The sequence below is a fragment of the Homo sapiens genome, chromosome 6 (assembly GCF_000001405.40).
Source record: "Homo sapiens chromosome 6, GRCh38.p14 Primary Assembly".
Classification (NCBI taxonomy): Eukaryota; Metazoa; Chordata; class Mammalia; order Primates; family Hominidae; genus Homo; species Homo sapiens.
The window spans coordinates 124,786,133-124,801,327 of NC_000006.12; the positions used below are offsets into that span (position 1 = coordinate 124,786,133).

Sequence of the window (15,195 nt, forward strand, 5' to 3'; positions counted from 1 at the left end):
AAAAATCTGTACCTGTTGGCATTTCAGAGTTATAGGCTTCTTCAGCTCCAAGTAAGTCTGGTGTATATGAAATAATAATAATAATGGAATTCACCCTCATGTACTTTTTTGAGTACCAAAGGCCATAGCTGGTCTGCCTCAAAGTCTTCTTGTAATTGTTATATATATAATGTTCAGAGTTTTTAGTTATACTTAATAGGAAAGATAGGGAAAGGTATCCTTCCCATTGCTCCAACTTCCCAGAAACCGAAATCCAGAATGTAATAGATTAAACGCTAAGGTTGCTATATTTTCAATTATTACAATTAAATCTTTTAAAATACTTACCAAAAGGCTTTGGTTTCATTTTTTCTATTAGCTTCTAAGTGAATTTCTGGGACATACAATCATAATTTGGTCTGTGGATACAAAAAAGAATTTTAATCTGATTTAGTTATACAGAGAAAATATCATTTCCTTCCAGTCAGTGATAATATCAAGATGACATGTAATTCCTTACCAGGTGAATTAGAAGTGAACAAATCACATTAGATACATGAAGGTGAAAAGATAAATAAAAAAAAAATTATACTTAGCTCTGCTTTGAATGACAAAGACTAAAACAACTAGAATATTTTATTTCTTTCACTAGTGGATAATTGTGTGTTTGCCTAGGATAATGCCACAGGTCCCTTCCATTATTATTCTAAGCATCTTTAAATCAGGAACAAAATAAAATTATTTTCTTTCAATTGAAGATACTCATATCTACTCTAACAACATGAGCCTCTATTATCTGCTTTGTGCCGTGTTACTTCCCTTTATACAGCCCAAGCTTCTCTGAACTGGGCCACTTCCTCCTCCCTATTTCTTCCCAGCTCTAGTCTAAACTCCACTTGGAAGATGTACTCTCCATCTCTCCGTACCCCTCTTTATTCCATTTCAAGCCCTCCCACCTCTCAAGGTCTATCTCAAAAGTGCCAAGCACCAACCTACTCCGAGAATGGATTACCAGTTCTTGGAGGAAGCAGCACCTTTATTCAGCCTTAAAGAATGAATTAGTGTCCATTAGTTGTTTTTCCTGATGGATATTAACTCATTCTTTAAGGTCAGCTTAATACCGGGAGATGAAATAATCTGTACAACAAACCCCCATGACACAAGTTTACCTGTATAACAAACCTACATATGAACCCTAGAACTTAAAATAACAGTGAATTAAAAAATTAAAAAGAAGACCCGGGAAGTAAGCAGGCAGTACTGCCATGTAAAGCTTTATATCCAGCTTAGCAACTCAGGACTCTGTTTTCAAAAACAAATGCAAAAAAAGAATGAGTTAGAATTACTCATTACTGGAGGTGCAAGGCTGACTAGGGAGGGGAAGGAAGAGGTACAGGGCATTAGCATTCTTTGTTGGCAGACTGGGAAAATGAGTTAAGGAACAGAGAAGGAAAGCTACCTGATAGATGTCAGCAAGCTACCAACAGCTTTCTACTGACATCAATTCTGACAAGGATTGGTGAGAGATGAGGCTAGAAAGGAAGACAAGTATCACATCAGGAAGGATTTGGACCCATGAAAAATGTTATACTTTTGTAGGGGGTGCTCCTTCAGCTCATTGTGTAGAAAAATGGCATAGTTCCATTGGCAATTTGACACACTGGAGGCCCACTGATTATGGCCCTAATCTGGTCTTCACAGCTTTGCTTCCATTATTCTAGTATGAAGTCCCCAAACTCTTATCAGATGTGACTACTGGCTCTTACCTAAACACAACCCCTATCTTTCCTGCTTGATAATCTCACTCTGGAAAAGCAAATTCCATTTTGCCTGTCATCAGCAAAAATACATATAATGCTCTTCCAAGGGTGTTTGAGAGGATTAATGGGCTAACACATGAAAGTGTCCAATCTACTGTTTGTTGTCACTTATTAGGAGTACAGTTTTCTTCCTTCTTTCTGAAGATTTACCTAAATCGACTTCAAATTACAGTTATATGTATACCTGCTACAAAATTGCAAACTCCTTAAAGCTAGGACTATATTTCAAACAATGGCTCTAACCAGGGGAAATTTTGCCTTTTAGAGGGCATGTGACAATGTCTAGAGATATTTTTATTGCCTCAATTGTTGACAGTCTTGATTGTAGGATGTTATTGTTTAAACATTGACAACACATAACAGCCTCAATAAAAAAGTGCTTCCCAACCCAAAATGTCAGTGGTGACTAGAAATCTGCTTTAGTTCATCATTGTAGCCCAGGTAGCAATTAGAAGAGTTGCATGTTATAGGAGATTGGATTCGTCTCTTCTCACACTGCTAATAAAGACATACCCGAGACTGGGTAATTTAAAAAGGAAAGAAGTTAAATTGACTCACACTTCAGCATGGCTGGGGAGGCCTCAGGAAATTTACAATCAAGACAGAAGGGGAAGCAAAGACCTTCTTCAGATGGTGGCAGCAAGGAGAAGAATGAGAACAAAGGAGGAGAAAAGTCCAGTATAAAACCATCAGATCTTTTGAGAACTCACACACTATCATGAGAACAGCATGAAGGTAACTGCTCCCATGATTCGATTACCTCCCACCGGGTCCCTCCCACAACACATGGGGGTTATGGGAACTACAGTTCAAGATGAGATTTGAGTGAGGACACAGCCAAACCATATCAGAGACATTCAGAATTGTGGGAAATAATCTGAAACCCCTTTCTATAGGTAAATTTTATAAATTGCCACTGGGGAGGTAAAATTAAATTAGAAATTTATATTGTGTAGGATAATTGGAAGATAGCAGAGTTTATGAATCTTGGTTAATTTGGGGGACACAAATTTCCATTTGTAGTTAGAAGTGACCAATTTAAAAGCTAAAGTTCTCTTAATCAGCAAGCTTTTGTAACAAAATGCAGCAGGATTTACTTTTATATCAAAGGAGCTCCCCAGATAGTTAAAGAATGAAAATGAATATAATTAAAAGATAACTGGTAAGCAGAATGCAGTGCAGTGCATTGCCTTAGCTGCATTCTGGGAGAGTACACTTAATAATCAAGACTCTAGTGACACTTTAATGAGAAGTTTAAACTTATTGGCCATGAATCTCAGAATGTATCGATGCTTGTTACCTAGATTTTCATTTCAAAGAAATGAATTGATGAGTAAGAATTTTTTTAAAACAGTTTGTAATTAGGACAAATTGCTTTACAAATAATTTAATAAGCATTTAACACTGAAAAGAAGAGGAAAACTATTGATAAACCTGTAACATTTAGCCACATATAGTAAGAACTCAATGTGGAGGAAGAGGTGAAGCTATAAGCAATACCAAGGGGATTTAACCAAACCCATAGGCCGTTTACCTAGACACAGCCAGATCCAAGTACCAATGACAAGCACCCATGGCACTGGCTCACTCCATAAAAAGAGCATTTTCATGGGTCCTGGTGGATAAAAGATCATGATGTGTTAGTATAATCTCTATTTTTCCAGTACCCATGAAAATGCTCAAATCACTATGTGATTTGAGTTTGGACAAATCAAAATCTTTGCTAAAGCCAAACAGGAAAATAGGAGACATTGGTTTTTAATTAGTACTCGGAACTCTAAAAATAAGTCCCAAAAAAACAAAGACCTTGATGACTCTATTATATAAAGAAGTGGTTCTTACTATCACTATCTTATTGCCAATAGTTACATATAATTCAGAGAGAAACATGCTGATTTGATGAGTTTTCTAAAATATTTTTTAAAAAGAAAACTCATTCTTCTGATATAGCATCAGTGGTATTTATTTTTGACTCTCTAAGATGTGTACTGGTACAGATACTACAGTTGGGGGTAGAGAGGGCAGGGGGTACGCCTTCCCTCTCCTCCAGGATCTAAAAACAAAAGCGTTTGAAGACTGTGTTGCGTAAGTCTTCTTCCTTCAACTCTGCCTCCCCAGTGTGGGCACTGCTGCTTCCTGTATTGTCCAGGAATGACCACTGTTTTATCCTATGCCAGTTCTTTTTGGAAGATAGCTAGAATCTGCCAGAACGTGCTTTCTCTCTCAAATCCAAATTAGGGACTTAAAAGTTTCTTTTCACCAGAGGCCACTTTGTCTCCTAACAGTTCTGTGCTCATTAAATACCTATTAGTGTACCCTTTGACTTAAAATGTTCCACTCACATCCTCCAGAAGATCACTATCTGTCATCTAATGAAAAACAACTTCATTAGGCTTGTCGTGGCGGTTCCTTTTTTTCCCGTGCTTTTGCTTCCTGATTGAAGACTGCAGCTTTTCCTAATGTTTTCTTCCCCACACTGAATATTATTGTGTGGGGTCGGTCCTCAGCCAGATCAATGCCTGTCTGAAATGTCATTGTGAATAATCTTCATCACTATTTTGAGGACATACCTTTAAGGATTCCTCCAAACTAGATCAATTTGCAAAAAAAGAAAACAAATAGTTTTCCATTATCCAGATATTATATTTGTTTCTTTTGACTAGCGCTCATAAGTTGACTAAGTAAATATTGTACTAATAGGAAGGAATACAAAAACACCCAATCTGAGAAAATAGAGAGATCAAGTGACTTTGCTGTGCTCCTTTACAAGCACACAGACCTTTTTGTAGTGTTTCAGAAAAGACGATGCGACGTGTGTAATGCCATATTCAATGCATTTTGATGATACTCCCTACTTATAGGTGTCCATCTCGTCACTTCTCTGTAACATATTGTCTTAATTATACTCAGTATGCCCTGGCTCCTGTTACAGATCTGCATTTTCCTTACAAAGAACCCATGCAACAAACCACAGAATCACCTTAATGTCTTCCCTCAAAGCGTTTTTCTGACGGTCTGTGGGTGTCCAAGTTTTAGAATCGTAGGCTCTGAGCTAATGAAAAGTAAACTAGAAGTTGATGGGCACAAATGCAAATGTTAATCCACTAGTGAATGGTTATAAGTCTTTTTCTGTATTGAAAATAATTTGTTTTAGATTGCCTGGCAATTATCAAATCTTACACATAAATGCAGGTCAGAGAAAAACAGAGTAATATATGTATTTACAACACAGATGAGCATCATTTGAATGAGGAATCCACACTGAAGTCAAGGTCCAGTCCGATGAGCCATGTTGGTTGGAGCCCTAAGTCTGGTTGTAAACTGCCTGACTTTGAAAAGCCACTCTCCAGTGAGGTCTGGTGTTGGTGCCTTTTTCTGATGTCTAAAGCATCTCTGTTTTGTTTCAGCTGGCAGGTTTCATCTACGCCTGTTATGTTGTGAAATGTATAACTGAAGAAGAGGACAGCTGTAAGTATTAAAGCTCTATTCTGTTTCTTTCAAGTTCAAAGCATCTCCTTTACTGCCTCCTACTTAGCCTTCCTATTCCTCAGACAAGATCCTACAACACAGCATTAGAATGGAAAATAAGCCTTTTGTGCCCATCAGACTAAAGTGTTTCTCATAACAGTATCCAGCAAACTGAAGAATGGAGAAGCACCCATTTTGAAAACATAACTTCTTTCTTTTCATTGAAAACCTTTTAAAAATCATTTCCTCTTATAAACAATTCTAGTAGGGAACAGAGATGGGAGATTGGAGATGGAAATGATTTTAAAATGTGGCTAACTTGACCATTCTCTTTTTTATGATCCCTTTATTAGGTATTGATAACTAACCAGTTTTACCCAAGACTACAAATCCCCAAAATCAACAATTTGTAATAGTTGCTAAGATTCTTATAAAAACTGACTTCAGATTAATTCAGAGAATTTGTCTTTGGGAAATCAAATGTCCATCTGTCCTTTTTGTTCCTACTATTTGACACAAATGGCTAGAACTCTAACTATGTCAAAGTCTCAACATTGAGACATATTGCTTGATCCAGAGTTTAGATCACAGTACCCTCTTACAATCCTCCCAGTGGCTCTGTTGTTCTCTGCTCTCCGAAACATGGAGGGTAGAAGGTTTCATTCCATCCCTGCCCCTAAGGATCTAAAACAGGAGAACTGGGGAAAGTACTTCTATTCTCTGAGGGTACTATCATGAATAATTGCCTATATAGTTACATTTACTCTGAGGAAAAATCAGAATTGGGAATCATCTTTCTTGGTTTCAAAAAATATTTATAATGTTGGGTTTTTGAAACAGTAAGGAAAGAGGAAGGTGAGAATATGGTGATTTGAGGGAAACATCCAAAGATAAATATCTGTTTCTTCTTCCCTTTCCAATTATACTGGAAAGGAAGAGGCAATATCAAGTGATTAATGTAGAAGAGGCACTTTTCAATCGTACTCATACATGATCTAAAATCAGAAGTATACAGTATATAATTTATTTCATATATAAAAGGAAATAATGGTCCTTTCACTAAATAAGCATTTGTAAAATATTCCTCAGTATTTCAAGTGCTGTGTCAGCCTTTGGAGATTTTAGGATGAGTCATACATAATATTTTACCTGTAGGAACTTGCCAACTAGGAGGTTAAAACAAACATATGAGCAAATAAGTATGAAACTGTGTAGTGCACGCTGTGGGTAAAGAGAAGAAAGAGATCAGGAGAAGGTTTATAGAGAACAGTTTTGAGCTTGATCTAGAAAGATGAATAGATCTTTATTGTGTAGCTGATATGGAAGTGAGGGGTGGTCCCAGGCAAAAGGTGAAAAAGCATATCACGGCCAGATTAATGTGACTGAATTTGTTTCCTGTGCTACAGGTAGACAGCTGGAGAAAATTGGAAAAACAAGTATGGGTGAGATAGTAGAAAAATGGGTATGAAGATTAAGGAGTTTGGGCTTTATATAATAAAATCACAGATGAAAGAGCAGGTAGCTTATAAAAAGAGATTAACATAATCAAAAATGTACTTTAGAAAAAATACATTAGCATCATTATAAAGAAGAGACTCAAGAGGGGGAAAGATTAGGGAAAAGAGAACTAGTTAAGACACCATGAAAGTGAGACATGAGATAATGTGAATCTGGACAAGGATCAGTATTGGAGATAGAGAGGATAGATGTGCCATGAGACATGCCGAAATGACATGATTAGTGGGCAATGGTGGGTACTGTGATAAGGGAAAAAGAGGAGACTGTTAGATTACTGGGTATCTGATGCAAGTGAATGGGTAGATGGAATTGCCACTTGCGAAGAAAAATGGGAATAAGATCACTAGTTCAGTTTGCACAGGTTGAGTTTGAGGTACCTAGCGCCTATACAAGAGAAGACATCCAGTAAGCACTTGTCTTATACAGAAAAGATTTATTCAAAGATTAGGAAAGGCAAAATATATACGGATTTTAAAATGTGTGGACCAAACAAACTATGTAAGTTCATTGAGATATTACCATTCAGTGTCTGTGTGCCAAATCCCTGATGAAGGGGAAGTCCCCAGTTGATTTTCATATGGAAGTTGGGCTTTCTCTGGGCTATGTTGTTTGATTTCATTTCACAATGATACCAGTGCATTTTTATCTTCAGACAATACTTACTGACATACCATGTCTCCTACATGCATAATCAGTATTTTAGCAGAATAGCACCTCTCAAAGGAAATCTCAGAAATGCTAGTTCCACAAGACATACTGCTCAAAAAAAAAAAAAAAAAGATTCCAAAGCCAAGTAAGTTTGACACTGAAAATTTAGAATGCACATTTATATATTAACATTTCTGAGAGTACTGCCAGAAAAAAGTATGTCCTTTTTTTTGTTTTCTAACCCACAGTTTTGTTTTAATCACATTACCTTGAGGCCAGATACAGATCAAAGAGAAAAACCAGAAAGAGTTCTAAGGCTTGATTATATCCACAGTTCCCCGGGGAGAATACCACATGCCCCACATGGGAAGGAGTGGGGTCAGCCATGAGGCAGAGAGAGAGTGGAACCTTTAGTTCAAATCCTACAAGAAGAAATGGATGAGGCAGGGTAGGAAGGCTTATTAGGATAGGTTAGCTATGTTGCAAAGTTGCGCCCCATGAAATTCATGTTCACTGTGACTATTAATGCATAGGTTTAGAGCTATCTAAAATCTCCACATGCTTTTTGGGGATGAGCCAGGGCTTACTTGGAAACAGCTAGTGGTCATTTTGTAGATGTTAAAGCATCAATTTATAGAAATTAAAAGTATGGTTAATGCAAGTCTCCCAAAATATTTGAACACAAGACTCCTGTTTTCCATCAACCCCTGCCCCTCTCCGACCTGGACACCTCCAGAAAAAAGCACTTGATATTCTGGAGAATTCTTCTAAGGGAATTCTGCCCTAAATCAAGTTTTGGCCAAAGCAATGTAAATTCAAGGCGATTCAAAGTCACCAATATCTGTTGAAAGATCAAGTTATCTCTCAATCATCTAATAAGCCTTTTTCCCCTGAAAGACTCCAAAAAATAACATATATGTTTTTATGTGTATCTTGACCACACACCACATCTGCCTTTATTAATCCAAAACACAAGCAGACTTCTCAAAGACACGTTTTATCATGTTAGTCTTATTGCTCAGTGCGCAAAATATGAACCCTTCTAAATTTTTATACACAAGTAGACTGACGCTTGCCTCAGATGTTCATGGGACTAGTAAACAGGTGGGAGGAGATGTTCATTTGGGCTCGCTGTCTGTCCAGTTGTCTTTGGTGACTTTCAGTTAGGTTCATTTACTTGTAGTCATTCACACCTAGACAGTTATGAGTATCTTTTGGTTACAATGCTTTGGGTTGATATTCTCTGTATGTAATCACTTTCCTGATGTTTATCCTCAGACGATGCCTGGACATATGACTTCCGATCCATAGAGTAAAAAAGGTTTGACATTTCTGTATCATTTTGGTAATTATATTACAAAAAATTATCCTGATCCTTAAAAAGTTGGGTGAAAGGTTAAAATAAAACCACTCTCAAGCAAACCCTGAAACATGGGAGGGATTTAATGTACATGTAAACACTGAGAGGGTCTCTATGTGCCTATTTTTGCCCACTGTGGATTTGCAATAATGCATCATTATTTGCAGTGAAACATAGTGGCAGGAGTAGGTGCTAGCTACCTGCTTGCCAAATTGGTTAAGTTTCCATTACTAAGAGCCTTATGAGGAACAGCGGACAGTTTTGGCTCTGTAGCTTGTGCTTAGAATGGCTGTGGAGATAAGGGCCCAATGATGGCAACTGGACAAAATGTTCTTTAAGTCAACATGAAGCTGATCAGTTATGTGCTCAGTTCTGATACCTCAGCTTCACAGCAACAGGTGTATCCAGGAAACTTCAGAGGAAAGAGGCAGAAACCTCCAGGAAGCAATGGAGAGGGTTTGAGCTCAATGAGCAAAGACTCAAGCCTAGACCCAATGAAATACCAATAAATCATCATTGAAACAGAGAGTTAGGCTCATGAACATCAAATGCCTGAGAACTTTTTTCCCTTATGTATCCTTTTAAGCAGTATCTCATTACTCTTCTAGGGCCCAGTTTGATTGATATTTATAGAGATACTGTTTTAGTTCCTTTGGGGTACTATAGCAACATATTATAAGTAAGGTGGCTTATAAATGACAGAAATTTATTTCTCACAGTTTTGGGGGCTGGAAAGTCCATCAAGGTACCGGCAGATATGGCTTCTAGTGAGGGCTGGTTTCCTTGCTCATAGGTGATACCTTCTTGCTGTAGCCTCACATGTGGAAAAGAGGCAAGGCAGCCTTCCGGGGCCTCTTTTAGAAGGTCACTAATCCCATTTCTGAGGGCTCCACTGTCATGACATAACCACCTCCTACAGGCCCTACCTCCTTACACCATTACATTGGTGATTATGTTTCAAAATATGAATTGGGGAGGGACACTAACATTTACATCATAGCAGACACTATATTGCAAGGGTTTCTGTTTTTTTCCATTGAAAAAAATCTGGACCTTGAAGTTTACATCTCTGACCCTTTAGTTATCTAAGCCAGAGCCACAGTTTGGCAGGCCAGCTGGTTGTGCAGACTCACAGGGTGCCACTGCCATCTGCTGTACCTACCAGGGGATGACAGCAACCCTCAGAGCAGAGATCCCAAATTAGATGTGACACTCCTTCCCCCATGAATTAGTTAGCTAGGGATGCCATAAAAACATACCACAGACATAGTGGCTTAAACAACAGAAATTTGCTCTCCAAAATCTAGGTGTTAGAAACCTCAGGTTTGGTTTATCCTGAGGCCTCTGTCTTTGCCTTGTAGACGGCACTTTCTGTTGGATTAGGGCCCTATCCTTATGACCCCATTTAACCTTCATTACCTCTTCAAAGGGCCAATTTCCAAATATAGTCAGGCATATTAGGAGTTAGGCCTTCAACATATGAATTTGAGGGGGATCACAATTCAGTCCACATCCAAATACACACACACGCACACACACTCCACGTGTGTCCTGGACACTTGAAAATATCTGTGGGGCACAGATTGAGGATAGATGCAGCTCACTGGCCCATCAGATGCCTGTGGGTAAGAGGCTTCAGGGCTGTATTGCTGCCAGGCCAGCTCCATACTCACTGCCACCAGGCAGGAATTCCCGCTCAAGATCTCCTGCTGTGGTGTGATCTGCCTCTAGATGAGTAGCTTCTCACCAGGATAAAAGCTGAGGTCCCTGCTCTAGAGGATGTGGCTTGACCTTAGAACCCTATTTGAGTGGGCCACCTTAACAACATACTTTCATATATTTGTTCATGAAAAGGCAGTGATACATCTTGGGAGAAAAGGCTTTCTCCAGGAAAGCAGGCATCTCGCTGTGCTGTCTTTGTGGCAGGGCTCTCTGCTGTCTCATCTGTCACCAGCCATGCAGAGCTTTCCTTATGGCCTCCCGTCTTCTATTCCCCTCTACTTGTTCTCTTTTACACTATTCTGTAAAGAAAGAAAATGTTTGGAGATTCCTGGTCGGGTGTGCCTTTTATTATAAATGTGGCTCTTCTGTCTCACTTCATCCTCGGTTTTTCCCCACTGCAGTTGGATGTCCACTCACAGTGATAGAATCAGGAACTGTCCTCAGTGCTTTATTAGCACTGTTCGATGTGGCAATTAAAAGGAAGCCATGCAGCCACAGAAAATATTGCTAATCCATGTTAGCAAAAAAAAAAAAAAAAAAAAAAATCATCATGACTTCTCAATTTTTATTACTTCTCAATTTTTATTATGTATTCTTGTAAATCACTGGCTTAATAGTTAAACTAAAACTAAATGTTGGTCCTCTAGCAAATGGGTTCATTTTACTAAGTAGTCATTTTCTTTGCTAAAAGAGATTCAATGTATTTGCAAATGTTGTTTAATGATGAAATCATCTGGAGAGAGACATGGAATATCATTTAAAAAATAATATCCTAAGGGACTTATTTTGAAATCAATGCAGAAAAATGAATTCAAGATGCTTAAACTTGGAGTTAGACACATGCACATTTACACCAACCAAGCACAAATGCATCAAAACCTGTCCTGAATTCCTCAAAATCAACTGGCCTTGGGATAAAAGTCACAATCAATTTATTGAATCTTTCATTTGAAAAGAAAACCACAGGAAATTATTCACTTCTCTGGGGCTAATAATTTTCTGTTATTTTTGTTTGATTTTTCTTCTAAAGCCTGCTGGCCTACACTTCTGTGTATTGAATTCCATTCTGTATGTTTTTATCATTTCTCCAGTTTGTCAGGATCATTGGATTTGAATGCAGTTCTTTGAGCACAATCGCGTACTCTCAACCATGGGGGAGGGTAGACATGGGAGCAGGGAAAACTATTTCCCCTTGAAAAAAATATTTGTTTCTTCCTGTCTATAAAGGAATGCAGAAAGCATAGACAATACAGATAAATAAAAAAAGGAAAATTAAAATAACCCCATAATTCTGAGTTCTGATACTCAGTTCAAATTTTGGTATATTATGTGCCTGCCTGCCTGCCTGCCTTCTTACCTTCCTTCCTTCCTTCCTTCCTCCCCTCTTCTTTTCTTCCTTTCTTCTTATCTATCTATTATCTATCTATCTATCTATCTATCTATCTATCTATCTATCTATCATCTAACTGCATTCCTCCCATCTGATTGTTAGGGCCATATCATACATTCTGTTTGGTAGTCTGAGCTTTCTTTCACGTTTATAAATCACTCTTCAAACATAATCTAAGAGGAGACAATTAGAAGTTCAGAAAAGGTGCCAAGTTCTTGGGTGCCAGGTTGACAGGGAGAATTGTGAGAAGAATATGTTTATTTTACTTATCTGGCATCATACTGAAGCAATCAAGTAAAATGTAACATAATCTTAGTATCTTACTAATTTATCTTCTCTTTATAACATTTGTCTTATGAATTTGATGGTGACTGACTGAAAAAATTTTGTCCATATCTGCCAGTTTCCCACTAAACCAAAACTTGGTATTTATTTTGTTATCTCTGAACAGGATCACAAAGCCTGAAGACCCAGGCTTTGCACGCCACTAATCTCTCACTATGCCTACAGAATCCTAGTGGGGCCAAGGTGAAAAAGGTGTCATCTTTCACCTTTCCTTCCCATTCCCCCCTCTGCCCAAAGCACAGAAGTTACTGCATTTATTTAATTTAATATCGATTTGTTCTGCTTATGATTTGTTTTGAACTATGAGTTGTACTGGGTTAAAAATGATGGAAACCTGCCTACTGCTCTATTTCAGCACTTTAATTTTATAGGCCCAGAAAGATTAAATGACTTGCCCAAAGCCACTAGCTCATTCATGACCTTCCGACATTCAAATACAGTACACACTGATTCACTCAGGATGGAAGAATAGTAGGAGACACCATCAAGATCCACCCCTGTCTTGTTCCCTGCTGTATCCTTAGCATCTACCAAATCCCCAACCTAGAAGAGGACTCAGGAAGTATTTGCAAAATAAATGAATGAATCAATTGGATCTCCACAAACATTCCTTGACCTTTATGGAAACTGCCAAGGAAATATGACATCTCCTCAGAATTCAATGTATTCAGAGTAAATGAATAAGTAATTTGAATAAAGCACCTGTCATTTTCTAAACAAGAGTAAGAAAGACATGCTGCCATGTATAAAACTAAGTGATCAACACCTGAGACAGATGCTACATGCGAATTTTCCTCCTGTCAATCAAATTCAAGTTCCTATTAGTGACCACAGCATTCTCCAACAGTGTTACATGTAATAATTTTCACATAATCTCCCCAGATTGGTGAGCAATGGTTTGTTTTTCAGCCTTCTATTAAATTGCTCCCTCTTGTGATCATCTAACAGAAAACACATAAGCTATATTTTTAAATTTGGATGTTCAGGTCAAAACTGAGTCTGATTCTTCAACATTCACTTCTTATTTTCTTTCTTTTCTAATAATATCGCCTCCATTATTCTATATTGCTTTTCACTCATACACATACACACACACACATACTATGTTCATCGTTAAATAAATCTGATATTTCCAAGTCAAGAATATGAGGGGAAAGAAGCTGATTCATTCTCTCTCCTCTGTTAATTAAGAACAATCAGAGCTTTGTTTCTACAACACAATATAGAGGTAACACTATTCAGATAAGCAAAGGAGGGCCTTTAACTGGGGTGTAACAAAAGAGGTATTTTTTATGCAAAGAATATTTCTGGCAGGGTAAGTTGAAGTTATCCAGCAGATGAAGAATACTGATGTTGTTTTAATAGCCTTAATAAGAAAGAAACCATGTGACTTGAAGGAGGAGAAAGTAGTGACATTTACAGAAATGAATAAACAAAAACCTTGATTTTGCTGACTCTGCTTCTTCCAGTGGTGCAGACCCCCACAGCCTACCAGCAGTGGGTGTCCTGGACTAGCTACCTCACCATCTCTCTCTACCTTCTCATGGATAATGGCATGAGAAAGAAAGCATTCAAGTAGCAGAAAAGTGGGGTGATTTTTGCAGCAGAATGTTGACATACACACTCACAAAATAAAATCACTGGGATTCTTTAGTCCCATCTCCAAACAACAAATGAGAGCAAGACAAAACGCTGGCACAGGAAAATGAAGTCTCTTTAAAAGCCCTCCAAATCAGAGACATGCTGAGAAGATGACATTCAAAGTTAGTCTCTTGACGAATGATGCTGGCCGGTGCCCACTTCCTTATGCCCGGTTCTGCTTTAGTTTTAGAAGTGGCATCTCATAGAAACAGAAGGCTGTGTTCAGAGGTCTCCTTCTTAACAGCAGGAGGGCTAAGAAACACTAGATCTCTAAGGATGGCCACCAGGTTTGCGGAATGAAAACATCTGAGCAAAGCAGCCTACACCTAGCTACTGAAAGAGAGCCTTGGAAATAAGTGAGCTGGAGGCAAACCCTCAATCCTGTGTGACATTTAAATGAGGCTGCTCTGGCAGAAGATACTCACGGAGGCCTCCGCTATGACTGGTTGGCGTTGTGTGGCAGGGAGTGAAAGAGAAACAAACTTAAAGCTCACAGGAGGTGCGGTTTGTTTAAATAATAGAAAGTAATTAGGCTGAAGACAAAAATCAGTGATGGCATTTTATAATTACGATTAATTTAAAGTTTAATTTCCTTTGGTGCTAAAATCTTACTTAAAACATTTATCGGGAAAGGAAATTAGGACGTTACTATCAAGAGGCACAGAGTGCTTCTGGGAATCCATGCCTATTATCACTTGAAAATTAGGTTAGGGCCAAAGTGGGAATTTCAATTCATTTTTGAGTATAATAAATGGTGACCAGACCTCAGAGTCAGTGGGGTTGGCAGGGGCAGGCAGTGTAACATTTGCATTTGCTTGTTTGTTTGTTTGTTTATAGGATTAATTGCAAATGTTTTCAGCAAAGAGTGTAGTTTATACATTAACAATCCTGCTACAAAATGAAAATTGGATATGGATTGCTGCCTTTGTAACTAATGAAGCTGATGTTGAATTCCCAAATGTGGCACTGCAAAGGGAAGCACACAGTCACACATCCATACACCTTCACCACTGAATTAAACGGAACAGGGGACAGTATTTCTGTTGGCTCCAAACCCGTCACCCCGACTGTCCTATCCAAGGCCCCAACTTTTTCATCATTCTGTTTTCCCATTCATGCCTCAGTTTCCAATTGCCATTTTCAGCAGCTAATCTTTCTGGAAACTCACTTAGTAAAATCAATGCATAATAGTAACAAGCAGATGGAAATAACTCCTTTACACTAATTTTTTTCATTCATTATGCCTTTGTGGATTTGCTCATTTTAAATATTATATTGCTAACATTCATATGTGAACTAATCCC

At 38.2% G+C, this 15,195-nt stretch overlaps 1 protein-coding gene across 9 annotated transcripts in view; it reads left to right on the forward strand.

Moving 5' to 3' along the window:
- The window catches only part of NKAIN2 (sodium/potassium transporting ATPase interacting 2), a 1,021,776-nt gene that overhangs the window by 982,268 nt on the left and 24,313 nt on the right, over positions 1-15,195 (forward strand). For all 9 annotated transcript variants that reach the window (XR_007059213.1, XR_007059215.1, XR_007059214.1 and 6 more), the window contains one exon: positions 5,207-5,267. Coding sequence is in view for 6 of the 9 variants with exons in the window: in NM_001300737.2 (NP_001287666.1) it covers positions 5,207-5,267 (61 nt within the window). In the remaining 3 variants the exon portion in view is untranslated. The remainder of the gene's footprint in view (positions 1-5,206; positions 5,268-15,195) is intronic.